At 43.2% G+C, this 22317-nt stretch overlaps 1 protein-coding gene across 10 annotated transcripts in view; it reads left to right on the top strand.

Annotated features, from left to right (window-relative positions):
* EXOC6B (exocyst complex component 6B) overlaps positions 1 to 22104 on the top strand; it is a 650050-nt gene extending 627946 nt beyond the window's left edge. For 6 of the 10 annotated variants that reach the window (NR_135773.2, NM_001321734.2, NM_001321730.2 and 3 more), the window contains 3 exons: positions 13901 to 14013; positions 15183 to 15194; positions 18627 to 22104. Coding sequence is in view for 8 of the 10 variants with exons in the window: in NM_001321734.2 (NP_001308663.1) it covers positions 13901 to 14013; positions 15183 to 15194; positions 18627 to 18753 (252 nt within the window). In the remaining 2 variants the exon portion in view is untranslated. Of the gene's footprint in view, positions 1 to 13900; positions 14014 to 15182; positions 15236 to 18626 lie in introns of all 10 variants that reach the window. The other 4 variants (NR_135774.2, NM_001321733.2, NM_015189.3 and 1 more) reach the window with 2 other exon arrangements.

Raw genomic sequence — 22317 nt, 5'->3', positions numbered from 1 at the left:
GGTAATGACCCTAATTAATGTGGTATACCCTGCCAATGAGAGAACGCTCTGGGAATGTGAGAGGCATGTAGATCATGGGGCAATATCCAACATTCTCCTCTTTGCTCTGTCCTGTGTCCTATCCAGCTTCAAAACCCTATACAAAAGTTTCAGACTGATGGCCCAATGAGTGATTGGCATAATGTTTTTAAAACATCTAAATGTGAATGCCTTTAGGAGGATTATGTACTCTAGTTTTCCATAGCCCCCACTACCCACTATCATATTTCATCTGCCTGATTCATTCATTTATATTGTGTGCCTGGTCTCTAAAGGCAACTGATTTTGAAAAACCTGCCTTGTGATCACATTTTAGTCTTCCTTGTCTCCTCCAACATTCAGTCAGCCTTCAAATCCTTCAGTCCGACCTGAGACAGTGGCCATTCCTCTGTCATCCTGTTGTTGCCATCCCAATCCAGATCCTCATTGTCTCAGATCTTCCTGATTAGAAATTTTCTCCTCTAGTCCATCTTGTATGCTACTGCCAAATTTATCCCACTAAATAAATTGCTACTGAAATGTTACCACTCCCCGTGGAATATAGATTATTTTTAAGTCCTTAGACTGAGAGTCAGTACTCCAGTACTCTGCATAGTCTAACCCCACCACTTCCTCTTCAGCCTCTTCACTGCTATTCCTTTATATGCCCTCTGCTTTCATCCAATTAGCCCTTGACAGAGGCTCGAAAGGGAATGGAGGAAAAGATCAGGCTTGGGAGTCAGATTGTCATGGGTCCAAGTCCTGACTCTGTCACTTACTGCATATGTTCCTTTTGGCCCATTCTTTTAACCTTTTTGGGATTTCTTTTCTTTATCTATAAAATGGAGGTACCTACCTCTTCTGCTGTTGATTTTCCTCGGGATCAAATGAAATGGGTAAGTAAGATAACTAGCCCAGTATGGCACATAATAGGTATTCAAGAAATGTCTATTTTCTTCTTCCTTTGAATACATCTCAGCTACTCCTATTTCTGCTCCTTTGCTTCCACTAGTCTCTTTGCTTGAAATTCCCTTCATTCTCTTCTGTTTACCTAAATCATGCCCAACTTTTTGGCAGACTGGAACTTAAAATATTTTGGGCCTGATTTTCCCTTGATCTGAATGCATATGGTACTCAATGCCTGGGCCCCTCCTTTGACCCTCAAGGACAGATAGCATGCTGGTGAACACTTTTTATCTATTTATTTAATCCCACTTATGTCCAAAGTAGACTTGAAGTGGCTCGTTAAATTTTTACATAAAAACTAATTAGTAAATAGAATTGAAAGGAGGAAAATGAACTTAATGACAAAGGAAGTAACAAATATACCACCACTATAGGTCTGAAACTATCGTCTTCCTGGGAACTAGTGTTTACTTAACAAAATGTTTGGGAGGCAGAACCCTTTTGAAATTTGAAGTTTATGGATGGAAAACAAACAAACAAAAATGATCCCTTGGTGGTCAAGAACCACTTATCTAATGCTTCTTTGCTGAAACTATTGATTAGTTCCAAAATTTGGCAATGAAATTCTGAGTTGCAATTTTACTCAGTCTCTAGCCTTCAAATCCAAGTAAACAAAATTGATTTTAAATGCATATCTAGTTGGGCTAAAGATCTTAAGAAGTTAATTTGTCTAGTGCTGAGTCTTTCTACCAGACTCAAGCATATTTCATAGGCCACAGAGAGCCTAGCTTATTCTAAATTTACCCAGGGTATAAGGACATTACCTGCTTTACGATCCCTTAATGTTAGGTATTTTTTCTTCTGCCTATCATAGGATGCCTGGGTTGTAATTTGTAATAATGACTCATATAAGGCAAGATGTAATTTTCTACAACTATGTTTCTTAATTTATCCATTTATAAAAAATAACTTGAATCATTTTCATTATGAATTTGCAGTAGTTTTTCCTGCAGGTTATCACCCAGTGTCTCCAAAGTTTTTTGATTGAAATTCACTGTTGGTAAAAGACATTTTAAGGGCTGACCCCTAATATAGTTGTGTGTATAAAAATTTACTAATAAATTATAATTAGACATTGAGTAGCTGCAAAAGGTTATTCCCACATATAACTTTCTTCCCACTGCAGTTTAATAGACAGAACATTATCATTACCTTTGAAAGTCTGCTTGTACATACACACATACTAATATTAATAATTCAAGGCACAATATGTACTCAGGTTAAGTAAATTTCATTTTTCATAATAATGAATACAAATAATATAAATAGCTTTTTTGATAATTTCAGATTTGGGGGACTGACTTATCAAATCTGATTAGCTTATTACTATTATTATTTTATAATGTGGCTGATAAAGAGCTTGTATTATGATTAGGAGATTTTTGAGCTCTGCCATTTTCTCGATATTTGCTTACACTTACATTGTTAGTATTGTCTTCACTCTGTGGTCTCTTTGCAGGGATTTTATTTAAGCCACTTAGTCATTTTGTCCAGAGAGGGAGGGTAGTTTAGTTAACAACTCAATAATATAGTCCCTAATTCACCCACCTAGGAACCTTTAACAAGTCACACTATACTGCAAGAAAATAAACACTGGTCCATGGCTCCTACCTTCTTCTCCTACAACATCTGTGGCAGCAGTTCCATTGAAAATTCACACCTGCCTGCTTCTGCCACCCCAACAAGGGACAACTGAGTCAGCCCATGACAGGGGCCTCCCATCCTCCCCTTGAACATGTATGTGTACATGGTTATTATCAGCCAGTGTGATAATAGGTTTTCCTTCTGGTCCCTGCAGCAGGATAGATGCTGTCATCAGTGAGAAATGGCCCTACAGGACAGTCTCGGACTCAAAGGAATACTTGGTGTTGGCATTTTTATTTGGGAGTCTTCCTCTAGGCACCAGCTGGTAACAACAGGAGAATCTGAAGCCTCCCTATCTTTCTTTTTTTCTCTTTACCAAGAGAGAAAAGGTGAAAATTTTAGACAGAAAACCTATAAATCCACATTTATGCGGCAAATAAATATTTCTCAGGGTGATGTTCCCTTTCAGAGGAAGCTGCTGATAGGCAATTGGTCACTGATAAAGAACTTAATGAAGCTTCCATCCACCTGGAGCTGGGCTGCAGGGAAAGCAGGGAGCTGCACAGCCACTCTTTGTGCCTTCCCCTACCTCTTCTTCTGCCTTCACTCAACTAGGGAAAAGAAGAGGAGTTCAGACGTAGGGCCAGGAACCAACCTGTTACTGGCCGTTGTTGCAAAGCTCAGGTATAAGCTTGACCCCCTTAATCTACAGAGATCAGAAAAATTTGGAACCTCTCTCTACCACAGTTCCATAGCCTATGGAAAATCCAAAGGCCTCCTCCAGATTTCTGTGAATCCGTAGACACCTCCAGCCTTCTTGCTTCCTGCACTCCCAGTTCCATAGGGCAGTTCTGCAGCTTTCTAGGTGTGAAACAGCTTCTGCTCTGAGTTGTGCACACACACATATGCACACACACACACAGAGAGAGAGAGAGAGAGAGAGAGAGAGAAATCATTCACCCAAGCAATTGGGAGCAGAGTGGATTTGTCTAAAGACCGGGATTGAGGGGTTGGGTTTGTAAAGAAGGTTGATTGTGTCATGAATTGCACAGCAAACAGTTTTGAAAAGTCACTTACTAGATTCCCCAGGTCTCCAAAGTTGTCTGGAACCACAATACCATGAAGGATTTTCTTCTTAGCCCTTCTCACACATGTTAGTTAATCTCCTCTCTTCACATTCTGCCTCTCAAGAACCAGAATACCAAATTCCTTCTACCTTCTCTACTAGATGTCTTGGCACCTTGGGGGTCTCACCAAGCAGGATATTTCCCCAAACATGTTTTTCTCCCATAAAATAATTCTTACGCCAGTTGTTAAGATAATGAATTTTATGCCATCTCATTATAATGGGAAGGGTCTCTCTAAAGCCATTTTTTTCTTCTTTCTTTACTAGGTATTAAATGCCTTACATCTGAGAGAATTTCAGAGCATACTGCCCTCCCTGCCTTGGATCTACAGGCAAACCTTTTCTGTAAAAGACTGGATAGTGGATATTTTAAGCTTCCCATGTCATATGGTCTCTGTCACAACTACTTACCTCAGCTATTATAGCATAAAAGCAGCATAGATAATTATGTAAATCAATGAACATGGCTATGTTTCAACAAAACTTTATTTACAACAGGTGGTGACTTTAGTTTTCCATCTTCTGATCTAGAAAAAAGCAGGTAGCAGCAGTGATGAGAACAAGCAGAGAAGTCTCTAGGCTAAAATCAATCTCCTTAGCTTAGCATATGAGGCCTCATTTGTCTTGGTTATTCCCAAAGCACTCCTGAGAGATCTAGCCATGTCAGATTCCTTGCTTGACACCCCCACCCCATCCTACCAGTCACCACCTACCTGGCTCAGGCTTAGATGCCCTTCTTTTGAACTTTCTTTGTAACCTGTTAGAGTACCTGTTAGGGTATTCACATCATTCTGTATCAATTTATTTACCAGACTGATTTCCTCAAGACTAGAGATAACGTCTTAACATCATTTCATATGCAGTACCTAGAAGAGTGACTGAGACATTGTTGGTACTCAATTTATGTTTGTCGAAATAAGCCCTGCTTTGCATTTTCTACATTTGCCCAGATTTCTGTGTCAGGAAGTGCTCCTGAGGAGACACAGGAGGCAGACTCAGGATGCCCTTCTTTGAATCACAGAGGCCCAGCACCAGAGACAGGGAGTTGGAGGAAATCTTGGGCAATAAACACAAATGGGTCATTGGTCAATTCTATGCTTTTTAGTAGACTTTACAATTGTTCTCTTAATCTGCTCTCAGCTGCTGATAGAAGCTATTATGATTCCACATCTGAACCAGAAAAACAGATTTGGTGTCATGCCTGGGGTCACACTATCAGTCAGAGGACCCTCAGCCTTGGAACTCTTTTTGCTGTGCTCTACTGCCTCCAAAAAAAGGCAGATGTGGATCAGTGATTATGAAAATACTTTATAATGATGTAATTAGTTTCATCCTGTCAAAGGCAGGGAGTGGACAAATGAAGCTGCTCTGGGGTTAGTGTTCTGTATGTTAGTGAAAGTGGACTGCACTTTATACAGTGGCCATGCTCTGAAGAGGTAGAATTTTTAGAATTTTTCTTGGATTATATGTTAAGTGTCCCAGAAAAGCATGTTATTTGAAATCATTTTGTAGTCTATCCTGTTTAACATGAAGAATTCTTCTGGAATGTATATAAAGTGCAAATTCAGGTTTTCCTACATCAAATTTACTTCAAGGATGCACCTGCTTTGGGAGCGCAGTTCTCTACAGGACTCAGTGTTCCTGTTCAAGCGAAAACATGCATGTAAAGAAAATCACCCCTGGGGAAGAGGGGTATGGTCACTGTCAGTGTGTCTTAGCATCTGTGTCTGTCTGCATGCCTACCTTAGCTCATACTACCCTTTGCTTCCCATGGAATCTTTGCAGGTTTTCTGGAAAGAGGAGGCTTTCTCTAACATGAGGTAGGCCCCATGCTGCCTACTAAGACCCAGCCCACATGTCACCAAACATCTGCTGTGTTCCCAGTCACTAGTCATAGGTGTCTTCCATTGGAACCTTGAATTCAAATGTCTGGGACTGGATTCCCACTCACCTGTCATAGGTATCACATCTCCTGTTTGATGCTTCCTTCTTCCTTATACAACTTTTCTTCTAGTGCTGGGCAAGAGGAGCTTAGGTTTGGTCCATTTGAATGTTTGATATGAGAAGCACAAAGTATAAGTCTCTCCCACCATCTGGCCAGTATCATTGCTACAAAATGTTAGCTGACCTATTTAATTCCATGTGCCATGTCTTTGCTGACTACCTGCTGAGAATCTAGCCATTTGATAGTCTATGCTGTTGAGGAGTCAGAAGGAAAAGACATAATCCCCATCCTTGGGGAGCTCCTGTCTACGTGGGAGATGAGGCTCATATCCCAAGAATTGGCAACGAAGGTAGGGTACGTCCAACAATTCTCTTCACTCATGAATAGGCATGATATGAATTGATTTGGTAACAGACAGTCCAGGAGGAGGAACAAGCAGGCCATTCTCCACCAGGCTCCATATTTCTATTTTCTGAGTTTTTTTGGGTAATCCTTTCTGCCAAAGAAAACTTAAGTACCCCCCGGATGGTTTGCTTGAATATTGCCCTTAATTTTTATTTGACGATTTCCTTCTAATCCTTTAGCCATGAGCAACTCATCCATCTGAATTATTTCTAGACTTGCTGCTGGAGACATGTATATTTGTGTGCACTAACAAGGATCAACAGAGTCCTGCTTTATCCTAATAATAATCGCATTCCTAAGGTCATTCCTGGAACTTTGCATTTGTTCTACTATTATAATGCTGTCTGTTCTCTGTCCAGTTAACTCACTGTATGGCCTTGGACTGGTTTCCACTTTGGCTTGTTTGGATTTTTCTAGTCTTTCCCAGCTACTCTGGCAAAAAAGAAAGTCTGTTCAGAAATTTGGCCTAGTCTCAGATGAGTAGCTAACTCAGACAGAATCAATCAGGATTAAAAAATCAAAACAAAACAAAACAACAACAACAACAACAAACAACCAGCTGTGGCATCTTGGGGAGTGTGAGCCAACAAACTGTCTCTACCACTTGTCTACTTTGTGATTTTTAGCAAGTTGCTTATGCTTTCTAGTTCTTGGTCCTCTCCACTGTTCCCACCCTCCATGAAATCAGAATTACAATTTGAGTCTTTCTAAGCTAAGGGAATTTTCTGAAAAAAACAAGGAAATATAGCAGAGGCAGCTTTAGAACTTTGCCAAAGCCCTAGTTAAGAGTCACACAGATAAAAGTTATATAGGAAGAAAAAAAAGTATCCTATCATAGTGGCCTGTTGAATATATAAACTGATTACAAATGTCTCCCCTTGTCATATCTTTTTCCACTTACACACATTTTTGTATAATAACCAGTAATCACATAATTTACCATTTTAATTAACCTATATAGCTTATAAAGTATTACATCAACCACTACACTAGTTTAGTTCCCCTGTTCTATTAAATACCACAAACAGATAACTCTGTGTTTGAAATCAAAGCATCATTAATGATGGGTTGAGTTTGCTTTTGATTGAATTAGCCTTAACATTTATCAGAATTTCCTACTCTAAAAATCTAACACTCTCCTATTCTACCAAGTTAACATGAAATGCTCCAAAATGTAATGTCTGGTCTGTCCCTTGAAAATGACTTTACTTACCTAGTTTACAAAAACCGCATTTTCATGAATAAATCAAGAATATAATCATTAATGAGGAATGAGCTTCTGGGGAGTGAGTTCTAGGATACACCATTACATGACAAAACAAAGCATAAAAGAGTAGCTGTGATGTGCTACCCTTCAAGAGAGAAAGAGGAAGATATAAGAAAATACATATGTTTCTGCTCATTGGCGTAAAATAAATAAAAGAAGGATAAACGAGAAACTAGATTGGTTATCTACAGGAATGAATAGGAAATATGTAGAAAGAAGTGGGGAGAATGGGAACAGGTTGGGATGAGGAGGGAGTAATACTTCTCTGAGAACACTTTTTTATATTGCTGTTACTCTCAGAACTATAGTATTGTTTCACATACCCCAAAATTAATAATGAAAATCAACTGGAATGTGGGGGAATCAAAAATGGAACACAAGCAGTGAAAAATGAACATAGCTGAATTATAGAAGAAAAACACAACCATATTGAAAGTAATGACAAAGAAAATACTAACCTAAGTAACTTTAGAAATCAGTACTTTCTGGGGCAGGAGTATCACTGGAGCCCAGGAGTTCCAGACCAGCCTGGGCAACATAGCAAGACCTCATCTCTACAAAAATAAAAATTTAAAAGTTAACCTGGTCATAGTGGTGTGTGCCTGTAGTCCTAGCTACTCAGGGAGGTGAAGGTGGGAGGATTACTTGAGCCCAGGAGTTCTAGGCTGCAGTGAGCTATGATTGCACCACTGCACTCCAGCCTGGGCAACAGAGCAAGAACTGGTCTCTTAGGAAAAAAGAGAGAAGAAGGAAGGAAGGGAGGGAGGGAGGGAAAGAAGGAAAAGATGTAGTCCCAGCTACTCGGGAGGCTGAGGCAGGAGAATGGCGTGAACCCAGGAGGCAGAGCTTGCAGTGAGCCCAGTGACAGCCTGGATGACAGAGCGAGACTCTGCCTCAAAAAAAAAAAAAAAAAAAAGAAGAAGAAGGAGAAAGAGAGAGAGAGAGACAGAGAGAATGAAGGAAAGAGAAAGAGAAAGAAGGAAGGAAAGGAAAGGAAAGGAGAAAAGAAAGGGGAAGGAAGAAAGAAAGGAAGGAAGGGGAGGGGAGGGGAGGGGCACGGTGGCGAGTTTGTGCCAATAACAAATGGATAGATAGATTAATAGCAGGGAAGAGAGAGTACTTGCTTACAGTAGAATGAGTGACAACTCATAAATGTGCAAGGAAGGATGGTGTTGAGATATCAGCAGTTTTCAACCGTCATAGTAAAGATTGGGTTAGGCAAGAATCCTCACTGGATAACAGATATTTGAATGTCTTAAATCTTCACAGTTCCAAAGGAAAACATAATAACCAGATGTTGGAAGAAATCAGACAACATCTTAATCAGGTGATCAAAATTAATATCACCAATGAGGGAAAAATGAGCATTTGTATGCCTCCAGAGGTGATACCCTGAGGAGGACATAGCATCACTTACATAGTGTTCTGCTAAAGAATTCAGTCTTGAATCTTACAAGAAGCCACTAGACAAAACCAAACTGGGAAAAAATGGAGGCAGGGGAACTATATTCTTCAAAAGTATCAATATCATATAAGAAAAAGAAAGGTTGTATAAATATTCCAGATTAAAGGAAACTAAAGAGACATGACAGCTAAACATAATACTCAATCCTAAAATTATATCATGTAGTGGAACAAAAATAAAAGAGGCTATAAAGGACATTACTGGGTCAACTTACAAAATTGAATATGGATCATATCAACATTAAATTAACTGAAGTTGAAAATTATACTGTGATTATATAAGAAAATATTCCTAATCCTTAGGAACACTGAAGTATTTGGGAATAAAGTCTCAGTTTACTTTGAAGAAACTCAAGAAAAGAAATAGCATATGTGTACATGCATGGGTGTATGTGTGTGAAGAGAAAGAGAATTCAAGTGCTGGAGCATGTGGGGTAGAATATTGACAGTGGATGGATCTGGATGGAAGCAATATGTTGCTCTTTATACTATGCTTATTCCTTCAACTTTCTGATAAATTTGAAATATTTCCAAATGAAAGATTTAAAAATAAAAAAGGAATATTAGTGGTCACTAATGATGATTGAGTGTCCTTGCAGGAGAATTTATAGCAATCTAACAAGGTTGTTGTATGTGGAGAATCAGGCTGGGAGGGTCTGATTGACCTTGAAAGTCAGTCTGGAAATCAAAGTACTATACGGATAAATAGACCTGCTGGTTTTCTTGGCCGTTCATTCTAACACTGTTTTATGGAATCCAGTAGAAGTGTGCCTCCAAGCAGCTAACTTAGTTAAGTACCCTCAGAGTTCACTCTCTGTCCATCTGTCTCAGAGAAGGCCATATGACCTAGCTTCAGGCCACCCTAAAAGACTGTGGGAAGCAACATGGACCCAGAGTGTGATCTATAGGCTCATGGTGGTTGAACTTAATAGAGTTATGTAGCTTCCATGACTGTAGGGGAATAAATTAGATAGCTTGTCATTCCAGAGCTCTTAGGCTCACCATTGGCATTGACTTTGGCAGGAAGACAAAAATGGAAATCCTTATGATGATAGTGGCTGCCCTAAATGGCCCACCACTGCCATCATGCTGGCTGCAGCAGGGAGGCAAGACTGGGGCTGCAGACTCCATGGAGCTGGTGGGAGCTGGGGAGCAGGCAAGAGCCCTACCCTCCTGGGCACAACTGCAGCCACCCAAACCACAGCTGCAGACCTGGGCCTCCTGCTCCATGGAGCAGGCAGGAACCCGGTCCTCCACCCCCAGCACAGCTGCAGCCACCCAAACTGTGGCTGCAGACCCAGGCATCCCTTCACTCTTGGGGGCCTGGGAAGGCCCTCCCTGCCCTTGTAGGCTTGGAAGTGCCTGCTCCCACTACATGGTTTCTCCCTGTTGTCAGTGCTGCTCCAATCTCGGAGCAAAGTTGGGGCCAACCCCAGGTGCCATGAATGGGAGCAGAAAGCAGACAGGTTCCTGGGCAGAATGGGGCAGGTCCCCAGTGAGGCCTGACCTTCAGGCCACAGAAGGCCTGAAGGCTTGTGACCAGGCTGCCAGTCCCACGGACCAGAGTAGGGACTTGGCTGCCTGTGGACCAGTTGGCATGCACTTCCTCCCCTCTGAGGCCCATAAAAGCCCTGGGCTCAGCCAGAGCAGAGGAGAGGACAGAGAGACAACAGGACGACCAGCTGCAGAGAGGAGCCACTCTCTCTGCTGATAGCTGAACACTTATCGAGACAACCTGCCTGCAGAGAGGAGCAACCCTTTCTGCTAGAAGCTGAATACTTGCCGGGACACCCTGGCTACTGAGAGGAGCTTCCCACTGTGGGTCATCTCTGAGCTGTTCTATTGCTCAATAAATCTCTTCATTTTTCTCATCCTCTGCTTGTCTGTGTACCTCATTCTTCCTGGTCGCAGGAAAAGAACTTGAGACCCACTGAATGGTAAGGCTAAAAGAGCTGGGGTAACACAAACATGGCTGAAATATGCCCCCTGCTTGCCACATTATGGGTGAAGAGAAGGAGAGAAGAGCTGCAGCCCTTTGTAGAGCCCAGACCTGGGAGCTCCCTGAGCCAGGGCTGTGACTCCCTCTTTGGGGCCCTGTGGTTCCTGGCATCTCCAAGCTTCTGGGTGCTGCCACATTCCCTGGTGCCATCCAGGAAAGCTGCATGCAGTGCACCTGGTCCAGCTGCATTCTCACAGAGAATTGGTGCCCATGCCGGCACCTGGAGCTGCCCACCCCATGGCAGCACCCAGCATGTCTGACTGTTCAGTGGCCGGACTCCACACTTACTCACACACACCCCTTGCTGCTCCACACCTGACTCCAGTGTCCCTGGCAGGCATGAGCTCAGCCTCCCAGGCCAAGTGGGTGGAACAAACCCAGTGGGCCAGAGCAAAACTCAGGCAAAGGTGCCACTGGCCACAGGTTTCCGGCCAGAAAAGCGACACCCCAAAGATCCCATAACTTACAGCTAAGCCATGAACTTCTCTCCACTGTCCACTAGTGACTTCCCATGTGTCATTAACCAGAAATACATGGTAGTATTAGCAATAAATCTGAAATACTAATACATTAATTCCATCACAGAAATTAGGAATTCATTTAAAAAGAAGGTAGTTTTATTACATGCATGTATATGTCCATATATGCTGAAAAAGTAATATCTAAAATAGCTTTAAGAAATGGTTTTCCAACTAGACTTTTCTGATTTTCATTCACTTTTCTTATCAGCTCCTCAATAGGCAAATAGTAAAAGGCTTCCTAGGGTTTTTTTTTTATTTGTGAAAAAAATTTTAATTGAAAAAACGCTATCCTTTTTCATAGTTCTTTCCCTAGGAGTTGCAGGAAAATATAGTGAAATGTGTAAAGCACAGTACTGAAAGAACTTTAGAACAAGGGGTACTCTCAGTACCTGTCGTGGTCCCAGGAAGCAAGTAAAGTGGAGCTGTCTTGAGTGGTCTTTGAAGACTACAGGACAGAAATGCTGATGCTACAGTGTGGCAATTCCTCAAGGATCTAGGAATAGAAATACCATTTGACCCAGCCATCCCATTACTGGGTATATACCCAAAGGATTATAAATCATGCTGCTATAAAGACACATGCACACATGTTTATTGTGGCACTATTCACAATAGCAAAGACTTGGAACCAACCCAAATGTCCAACAGTGATAGACTGGATTAAGAAAATGTGGCACATATACACCATGGAATACTATGCAGCCATAAAAAAGGATGAGTTCATGTACTTTGTAAGGACATGGATGAAGCTGGAAACCATCATTCTCAGCAAACTATCTATCGCAAGGACAAAAACCAAACACCTCATGTTCTCACTCATAGGTGGGAATTGAACAATGAGAACACATGGACACAGGAAGGGGAACATCACACACCGGGGCCTGTCGTGGGGTTGGGGGGAGGGGGAGGGATAGCATTAGGAGATATACATAATGTAAATGACGAGTTAATGGGTGCAGCACACCAACATGGCACATGTATACATATGTAACAAACCTGCACGTTGTGCACATGTACCCTAGAACTTAAAGTATAATTAAAAAAAAAAAAAAGAAAGAAATACTGATACTAGAGTAGAAAGTCAAGGGAAATTCTCTTCTAAAGGATAACTCTCTGAGGCCTTGGGTCAACAGAAGGAAGTGGTAGAAGCCTTTTAACTTGCTAATGAAAATAGGCATGACCTGAAAATGGCCTGAGGGGCCGTTTGGGACCATCCTGGCCCAGACCAACCAGTGTGCCTGTCTCTCCCCCACTCCTTCTCTCATCTCTAAAATCCCTTTCTTGGCTGAGGGTATAGGGACTTTTCTAAGTTTTAGGTTTGGGACTTCAGCCAATTCCCATCCTGCTTCAGGAAGTTCATAACAGCTATTCTAAGAAACTGGATGAAGTGGAGACTTGGCCAAACAGGGCAAGGCCCATACTGCCTGTTTGCCCAGCTGCACAGTGAAGACAGACATGGAGGAAGGTGTGCCTAGAGCCCAGGCTCTGGCATTGGATATGACTGCACTCTTGGCCCTCTGCCTTTGTTCTGCACAACCAGCCATCTACTTGTCCTCATCAGCACTTACCTATCTCCTGGAAAGGGAGAAATGGAGAATGTCTTGAGTCAAAAAGTACTGTGAGGGTTCTCCCTCTATGCAGTGATATGAGTCTGGGACTGTGCCCCTTCTAGAAGCTTTTATTTGTTTGTTTTACTTAGTTACAATTTTTGAATATTTGTTAGTGTGATGTCTGAGGCTAAAACTGACTGGGAAGGAAAGCCTTTGACAAAAGTTTAGTTTCTCTCAGTCAAAATCTCCCGTGTCAGAACTCAGCTCACCCTCAGAAAGCTCTCATTGTCTTTTCACACATCTAGCTCTTGGCACTTCTCTTTAACACTCATAACCCAATTCTAGCTAGACTCTGTGTCCTCAATCATGGGCTAATCTACTATGGCCCTGATTTCATCTTCTTAGCCTGTGTCTGCATAGACGTAACACATATTGCCTCTTATAAATGCTACATGATCCATTTATGCCTTGTTTCAGTGTTTCTGTGTTATCTGTGTGTCCTATTTGTATATAGGCATGTGTATATGTCTGTATTACCTAAGTCACTTGGGCTAAGTCAGTACAGCAAGTCACAGAACTGATACTTGAACCCAGACCTTTTAACCTTGAAGTTCAAACAATTGTATATGTGGCACTGGACTACATCCACCTTTATTTGTTCTTTGTTGAATACTGAGAATGGTTCTTGGCATGTTGAAGGCATTTGATAAGTATTTATTAAATGAGTAAGTGAATAATTATTATGATATTATTATCATATTTGATTCAGTCCCGTGTTAGTTTCTTTACAGGGTTGCCTCTGAGAGCTGACTGCTGGCATATAGTCTTAGCAATGTTTCCATACTGCTTATGGCAGAGATAAGTCTGCCATCTAATGTTTACTCACTTATTTTCTTGGTTGAAAGAATAGTCTGCAGCTGTTCTTTTTCTTATTATATTTTAATTTTTATATATCCAATTTATTAGCTGGTAGTGAAGGATGATGAAGTTTCTGGAATCTTGGTTTGTCTTGTCTGTCTGACTAATCCCTGGGGTGGGGTTTGGATATTTTACAGCTTTTGGATCTTTTCATCCAGTGGGATTGGTCAACCTACCTTGCTGACTATGGTCAGCCCAACTGCAAGTACCTCCGGGTAAACCCAGTGACTGCTCTGACCCTGCTTGAGAAGTGAGTACCTTGTCCAATGGTCTGTGTTGGGAGGTGGGGAGACAGGGATTGGGGGTTGGCGTAGAAGATAATTTTGCCACTGCCAATACCTTGAAAGATAGCCTTGTTCTGGAAGTTGCCATAGGCCCTGGGTGCTGTCAGCAATCTCAGTCACTGGACTTGGCAGGCCAGTCTTCCTCCTGTGGCTTATTAATTCCTGAGCCCCCAACAAGCCAGGCCAAGTATGGATCAGAATTGGATTCTGACATTACCTTCTAGTTTAATGGGTCTCTTACTAGCGTCTCTTACTAGATATGGCAAGAGAAAAAAAAATGGCTCGGTTTGGGGCTCAGGCCAGCCTGGTGAACAGAATGAGGCTGCCCTAGTCACCTGGGGTATGATGATGGATAGTGCAACTCCACAGAACAGATGGTTTCTCTGGTTCCTAGTAGAGAATCCCTGGAAATTATTTAGAATTATTGAAACCTTCATCTGTTCCCAGCTCCCACCCCCTGCCAGACTGAGCTTTATTGTGCTGACTATCCCAACAAAGCTGTGTTGGAGAAGGTGTCTAATTCTTGCCTTAAGCAGTCACTAGCCTGCAGAGGGTTCCCTGCCACAGAGCTGTAGCCTCTCTGAAGCAGAGGTGCTACCACTGAAAGTAAGTTAGGCAGCTCCAGGAAATCTCAGGGCTAACAAATATGTCACCCAGAAGCTGGGAAATGCTATGTATTACAGCCTGGCTCTGGCTTTGCTAATCTATTAGAGAGCTGGCAGGTCAGAGACCAAGACCCATATAAAAAGGCAGGTTTCTCTTGAAATCTGAGAAACTAGTTAAGCCCCAGCTACTTGGAAGAATGCCCTGCATCTAGGCAGTGTAGGAAGTCTACATATATGGCCAGTCAACCATGTCTCAAATCCTAGGAAGACAAGGCTCAGAGTCCAGGAAGTCAGAGTGGAGCCTTAAGCAGAAGGAGAGGTCAAAGTCTATCCTTCTTACTATGTAATATGAAAGGGGGAGAAAAGGGGAAGAGATGAAGGGTAGGCAAGAGCATGATGCAGGTGTATGTATTTGGAGCCAAGAGACTAAAAACTCAGACTGCAGTTTTCTCCTGACCACGTCAGAGATTGATGTTTCCATTTTAACTTTGTTTCCCATGGTTCTCTCTCCCACTGACCTTCCGCCCTAGGATATCTAGAGAGTAAGTATATTATTCACTTGGGCCTTTTCCATCACTTTGAGGCAAGTCCTTCTGGTTTCCTCATTGACACTAATGACTACACTAAAATCCCTAGCCTCTGAGTTGTCCCCGCCCTGACATACTAATCTACTAAACCAGCCTGGTGCCAACTGGCTGGCTGCCTTCTCTATCCTTGGCCCTTACAGTGACCCTTGGCTTACTAATTCCTTTGGGGCTGGGAGTGGCGGCAGGGATTTTCTCCCATTGTGCCAGGTAAAGGGTTGTTCCCATTCAGCTTCTTGGCACACTCAATACTCTTGCTAGTGTGGGGCCTGAAATAAAGCCCTGACCGAAGGGAGCTCCTCAGCAGCCTCCCCTACCTCTTGGTGGCTTTAAAATCTAGAACCTGCATCTCTTATAGAAGACCCTTTATTAGAGGCAAGGCTTAATCCCACAGTTCTTGGTGCCAAGCTGAAAGAAGGGAACATTTTGACCTTTGAGGTGGTGCTTAAATGGTCATATTTAATGGTCATATGTGTCCTTCAAATGGGCTCTGGGATTCCCTTCAGTTATTTACATCTCTCAGCAGTCCTTTACTCCTCCGTTCCCAGGAATCTCTGGATCTAGGAAATACTGGCTTATCCACTCCCTATGGCTCAACAATAGTCTAAAATAATTAGCCTCTCCCTACCATTCTGGAGCGTTGGCCAGTAAAGAAACTATGTGCTTAGCCCTAGCAATCAGAAGAGTTTAAAAGCTTCCTTCCAAACACAGCAGAGCAAAGGGCATCCAGATCACTACAATCCGTATCTCCCAGCCTCATAGGAATTGACCCCTTTACCTGACCTATTCCTGCTTTTCCACAGCCAGTTCTACCATCAGATCTTGACTCTCCTTTTCAACCTGGCCCTTCTTAGCAGGGCGAAACAGAAAGACAAAAGACCTGCTAAAGACATTGAGGGAAAAGAAGTGGCCCCTGCATCATTGAGAGGTGGCCATAGCTGTTAATAAAGTAGAACAGGATATTGGGCTTTCAGAATGGGATGGAAGGTGGGAGGGCTGACTTTTGTTTTTGGAGCATTCCTGAGTAGAAACCAGCAGGCCACCACTAGCCCTCAGGGTACTTGAGTTTATCTTTACAGTGCCTAGTTCCAACTCCAGGTCTTAATGGCCAAGAAATTCTAGCCTTTGTGGCCAAAGACTACCCTCTTTCTCCTAGATAATTACAGGAGCTTCCCTGTGGGAGCCAAAAGCCAGCGGGCTGCCTGTCTCTCAGCTGCTTCCAGGAGTCATGAAATTAATGATAATGTAGGATATTAAACTAAATGTCCTATGAATATAGGAAGTGGTTTTCTTCATTTCTTTTTGTTTGTTTTCTGTTGTTGTTAATGTTTAGATATATTGTATACTCAGCGGAGGAAAGGGAATCTTTCTTTGGAACTATCTAAAACTAGGCCAGTTCTACAAATGTAATTGTGCAACTAGTGTGTTAGGGAACAAATACAGTAATTATCAGAGTCTTAAGGACCCTCGTGCTTTCTCTTCAACTAGCGCAGTCACTTCCCCTTCTTCTTCCCTTCCAAGCACAGGCCTCCACATGTGGGTGGTCGTACCTTATATTCAATGTTCTGAGTTTGCTTGATGAGTAATTCCAGCCTGAAGGCTCTTGAGCTTAGATTAGTGAGATAATTCTTTTTTTTTTTTTTGAGACGGAGTCTCGCTCTGCCACCCAGACTGGAGTGCAGTGGTGTGATCTTGGCTCACTGCAAGCTCCGCCTCCTGGGTTCACACCATTCTCCTGCCTCAGCCTCTCGAATAGCTGGGACTACAGGCACCTGCCACCACACCCGGCCTACTTTCTGGATTTTTAGTAGAGATGGGGTTTCACCGTGTTAGTCAGGATGGTCTTGATCTCCTGACCTCATGATCCACCCGCCTCGGCCTCCCAAAGTGCTGGGATTACAGGCGTGAGCTACCGCGCCCAGCCGAAAGAATTCTTAATTAGTTTGTGGCTATCACTGTTAGCCAGAGCCATACAGCTGTGGTGCTCATTAGAACCTTTTTGCCATATATAATGCCCTTATGGAATATATATATTGTAAATTTATATCATATATACCAAACATAAATGCCCCTGTGGGAATCTCTGGCTTTTTGACTCACTGGCCTCTAATCTGCTCCTCTGCAAAGGGCCACCCACAGTGGGGGAGAAAATGGTGCAGGATTGGCCCAAAGTCCCCTGGGAAATAGCCTGGGGGCAATTTATAGCCCGGTGCCATGTTCCTTCCCTCCTCTCTTCTAGCCTGTCTCCATACAGCCCAGGGAGCAGTGAAGTCAGAGGGCTGGCCCAACTCTGGTGAAGACTGGCCTGCCCCTATCCCAGAGAGAAATCTGTCTTGGCATGTTCTCAATTGTCTAACACTGGAACTAGCTGTGGGATATGGGTCTGGTGTGCAGCAGCTAGGACAAGAGTTAGTGGCCACCAATAGATGTCAGAGGTTGTGGGCCCTCTGCAGGGAATAGCAGATTCCTGAATTCTGTCACAGTTGCTTAGTCAGACTTGGGGGTTCTGTGACCATCTCAGCCTAGTCTTGACTTTCTTGTCCATGTTTCCCAGTTAGGGCTGTCTGTCTGAAAGAACCACTGGCCAGAATTACCCATGGTTTGTGTTCTAGGAATATGCCATCTATGAAGCTTTAGCATGACCCAAAGGTCAAAGGTCCAGGGGTACAGACAGCCATTGAGAACTCAAAGGCTTCTCATGTAAAAAGCTCTGGTTTATGGAGTGAGAGGATGGCCCAGCCATTTGGCCCATGCTTTCCTCAGCACTCTACTCTCTTAGCCACCACACCACCTATGTGCCTTTACCCTGAGACGAAAGGAAAAAGGTCAGTCAAGCCCTTAGTTTTGTTGGGGATAGGATAGAGTAGCCAGCTAGAGTGAGGTTTAGAAATATACAGTGGCCTTCAGTTATTCATGTTCTGTTGGAATTGCTAGTTAAGAACACTTTTCCTGCTTTACCTTTCAAATATTATCTCAAAGGTCCTATCAGGATTTAGTAGGTTCATGAGGTAATGAGTGGATCCTAGACATTCTATAAGGGCTTATTGACCAGCAGAGCTGTTCCCTGTCCCAGACACCTACAGCAGGTACATACCTGCTGAGAGAAGAGAATGAATTAGGTGGAGCAGGTATAAGGGGTAGGGAGATTGACCCCTCCAAAACTGGGTCTTGACCAGTTTCCAAAGGTGACTGAAGTTGGGAGGGCTATAGGTGCCAGAATGCCAGCTTCCTGATGAGTAGGTGAGTGTGGGCCTGACAGTGGAGATATTCTGGACTCTCTCATTACTCTGGGTAGTGGTTAAGATGCATTGCCATCCTGCTTCCTGCAGGTTCTCCTTCCACCATTGTTTCCTCAAACATGTTGCCCTCTTTCTTTCCTTCTCTGTTTAGGATGAAGGATACTAGCCGCAAGAACAACATGTTTGCACAGTTTCGGAAAAATGAGCGAGACAAGCAGAAACTCATTGACACCGTGGCCAAGCAGCTCCGAGGACTCATCAGCAGCCACCACTCATGAAGGGTGACCCCGGACCCACAGAGGCGACCTGCTGCAGCCTCTGTGTCAGTCTGGGGTCCAGCCCCAGCTGACCCTGCATTTGTGCATTCTTCTTCAAAGAGAGCATATGTATTTTTTTATTAACCCCTGTGCAGTATTCACATAACATTTCCCTATAGTAAAAGAGGCACAAGAATAAGCAAGTACATGAGATGTTGCTAGGCTGGGACTCAGGGGAAGTTATTACTACACTATCTGTGTTATCTTAGAGATGGTGGTATCATCAATTCCACAGTGATGAACCACCTTTCATCCATGGCTCTAAAGCTTAGGTCTGGGGCTTAGGAACCATAAAAAGTGGGTATCTGGCGCTGGGAGGTAGAGTGAGTAAGCAAAAGGATACTAAAATATGTCCTGTTCACTCTTGGATGCCCATTCACCACATAGATGAGGCTGATTCTTCTCAATACAAGGAAAGGGCATGGCAAACATTACTATTTAGTACACTAAGGGCAGCTCTGGAGGGTCATCTCCTCAGTCTGCTGACTTTCACTGGCTTGTGAACAAGCATGGCATATGGCAAGATGACAGCTTCATTCCAATCCCCCAAGAATGGCGGTTTCTTTAGCCTGATCTAACCCCAGGCTTTTATTGCAATTTTTTCTAGGGCAGGATACAGCTAAGTAGACAGCAGTAATAATTGGATCCCATGTTTAACTGCATATTGCCCCAGCTCTAGGAGTGTTGAGTCTCAACTCGAAGAGTTTTTCTGGATCTTGAAAGCCAGTTTTCATGGAATCAGAGACCCAATCCCTTCCCTGTTCATCTCATTTCCTTCACTTACAGTCAGAGCACTTGGTTCAGGACATAAATCAACAGTTACTTCCATAGGCCTTCACAGGGCGTTTCAGACTTAGCCTCCTCCAGTAATGCCATTGAAATAGTTCAGATTTCGGAAGCCTAAAAATGGCCTTTACCTTACCCTTAGGTGTAACCTGAGGATTAGTTGGGATTGTTCCTTTATGTTTTAAAACCAGCTTTTTGGTTATCATCTTTAAGGAAATGTCACCAGCTCTGCACTGTGGGGGCAGCCATGCCTGGACTGGATGCCTCTAGGGATGGAGACATTGTTACCATAAAGTCGACAGAGCCAACCATGGCTTGTGGCTTGTTGCCTCTGGCCCAACTGTCCTTCACTAAATAATATCCTAGATATTATTTTGTTGCTCAAGCCCAAGGTTCCCACCCTCTTTTGAGATCCCCAAAGCCATCTTTGGCCTTGTCTAAGAAAGATTGCCTATAATCCTGTCCTCCAAACTCTAAAGCCTGGAGCAGCTTAGCGTGGAGGCTGCACTCATTGACCCAGATGGACTCCTGAGACTTAACGCAAGGGCTTTGCTATGAGGTCAGTCGGGGGAAACTGTACTTTAAGACACTTCAGAAAGATGCTACTGGCTAGTAGCAGAAAGATGGCTAGTGGCAAGAGTATAATTGTGCATCACCAAACAATGACAAATAAGCCACACAGGCATTTCCAGCTTGGATTGATGGGAGGAGAGACTCATCAAACAGAATTCTTCACTACCTTTGTCAGCTACTGAGTTGCTTCTGGGGAGGGAAGTACTTCCTTGCCCCTCCCCAACCCCCCTACCTCACCATATCCTATCATATCTTGATAGTCATGGGGAAGAGGATGTGCACACAGACATACAAATTTCCTCAAAGCTGGAGAGACCAGGCTACATGTGAGCTCATAGATGCTGCTGAGGCTCATCCTGAGGGCTGGATGGTTGGCCAGGGTTTCAGAATGAGGGTAAGGGATGAGCACTGCCACCCAGAACTTGATAAGCCAAGAGAAGGCAGGAGCCAAAATGGCATCGCCAAGCTCTCATCTTTGTTGAAACAAGTGAGAAACGATTATATTAATCTGAAGTTCTATTGCTTGAGAAGAGTTCAAAACACTTCTCTTTGCTAGTACCCAGTTTGCAGCAAGATCTCTTCAGCTTTAAGTGCTGAGAGACTTTGAAGTGGAAATGGAGAGATGTGTAAGCATGGCACAGTGTTTGTCTTTTTAGAGGATCATCATTGCTGGTCTGGTCTCAAACCTCTGCCTTGGAAGAACTGTGCTATACAGGAAAAAGTGAACAAGGTGGAGGAATAGGGGTTATTCTGCACAGAAGTCCCATGAAAGGAAAAGCTTATTCAAGCTCAAGACATAAAGATGGACCCTTTGATATATCTTCTCTCCATTCTTAGTCTGCCTTCACCTTATCTAACAAAAAACAACATGCAGCTACTGAGTTGTATGTAGAGACATACTCTTGGTGGGCCAGGGAAGGTAAAAACAGGGACCAGCAATGTCAAGTTTTTGAACTAGAAAAGTGGGATGTTTTTAGTTTTGTCTATAACCTGTAGCTGGGCCAACCCTTGAGAGGACTTGTGCAAAGCATGTGTGCCCAGACCCATCAGACTCCTCAGATATGGCCTCAAATACCTAGAGATGTAGAAGTACCGTGGAGGGCCTCAATAAGAGGGCAAGCACACAGATGGCTAGAAGCCTGTATGGCTTCTGGTCAGGATGAACCCTTGGCCAAGTTCTTGAGGAAACCAGGTCTATATTCCTGAAGGGACAGTTCAGTTTGGGACTCTATTAGGTTTCAGTAGTAATATAGGCTGCTTGCATCATTTTAACATTCATAGGGAAAATCTCTTTGAGCAGGCTATAAATGAAGCTGTTGCAGGTAGGGAAGAACAGGACCTGAAAATGGGAACCAGGAAGTGAGATCCTGTTGGCAAAGGGAATGTAGAGCTTCCAGGGTGCATTGCCCACTGTTCTCATTGCATACCAGTCCTCCAAGTCAGTCTAGCCTTACTGTACACTTGACAAGTGCTTACTCAGCAAGTCCCAGACCCACGGCCTTTTATCTCCCAAGACTGGCTTTGGCCATGACCTTCCTCATCAGGCCTCTGAGCACACTCTCTAGGAACTGCTGCAGAAATTCCCCTACCTTAGCCTCCCTTCTCCCAGGACTCCTCTCTTGACTGCAATTGCCTCTTCTTCTTCTTCTTCTTCTTCCTTTTTGTTTTTTTTTTTTTTGCCTGCATTCACAATTACTTTTCACAAAGGTGTTGGAAATGGCATTTTTATTTTACACAGATAGTTGCACATATATAGAGAAAATTAGGAAAGTCCATTTTTAACTCTAAAGGGAACTTTTTTCTCTAAAACTTACTTGTAAAGCTACTGATACAGATGGGCCGCATGGTTAGGGGAAAGCTCCTCTGTGAAAAGAGCATGTTTATTCCTCTTGTACATTTTCCTCTTTTAACTGCTATTAAACAAGAAAGCCTACATACCTGTTTCAAAAGCCACGGTGTTGTCTCATGGGTATTTTGTTCTTCCATCCTTTTTGCACAGTGCAGCTGTGGTTGGTGAACTGGATGGCTGACATTGCATCCCCACTCAGCTGGACTGAGGACTAGAGCAGGCAAGAGCCTAGTGGGGAAGAGAAAGCCTACCTTCCACACAAGGCAAGGAGCCGTACTGTGGCCTTGGAAACATCCCTAACCCCTGGGTTACGTTTT

This window comes from Homo sapiens, chromosome 2 (assembly GCF_000001405.40).
Source record: "Homo sapiens chromosome 2, GRCh38.p14 Primary Assembly".
Taxonomy (NCBI): Eukaryota; Metazoa; Chordata; class Mammalia; order Primates; family Hominidae; genus Homo; species Homo sapiens.
This window is presented reverse-complemented; position numbering and strand designations above follow the sequence as displayed.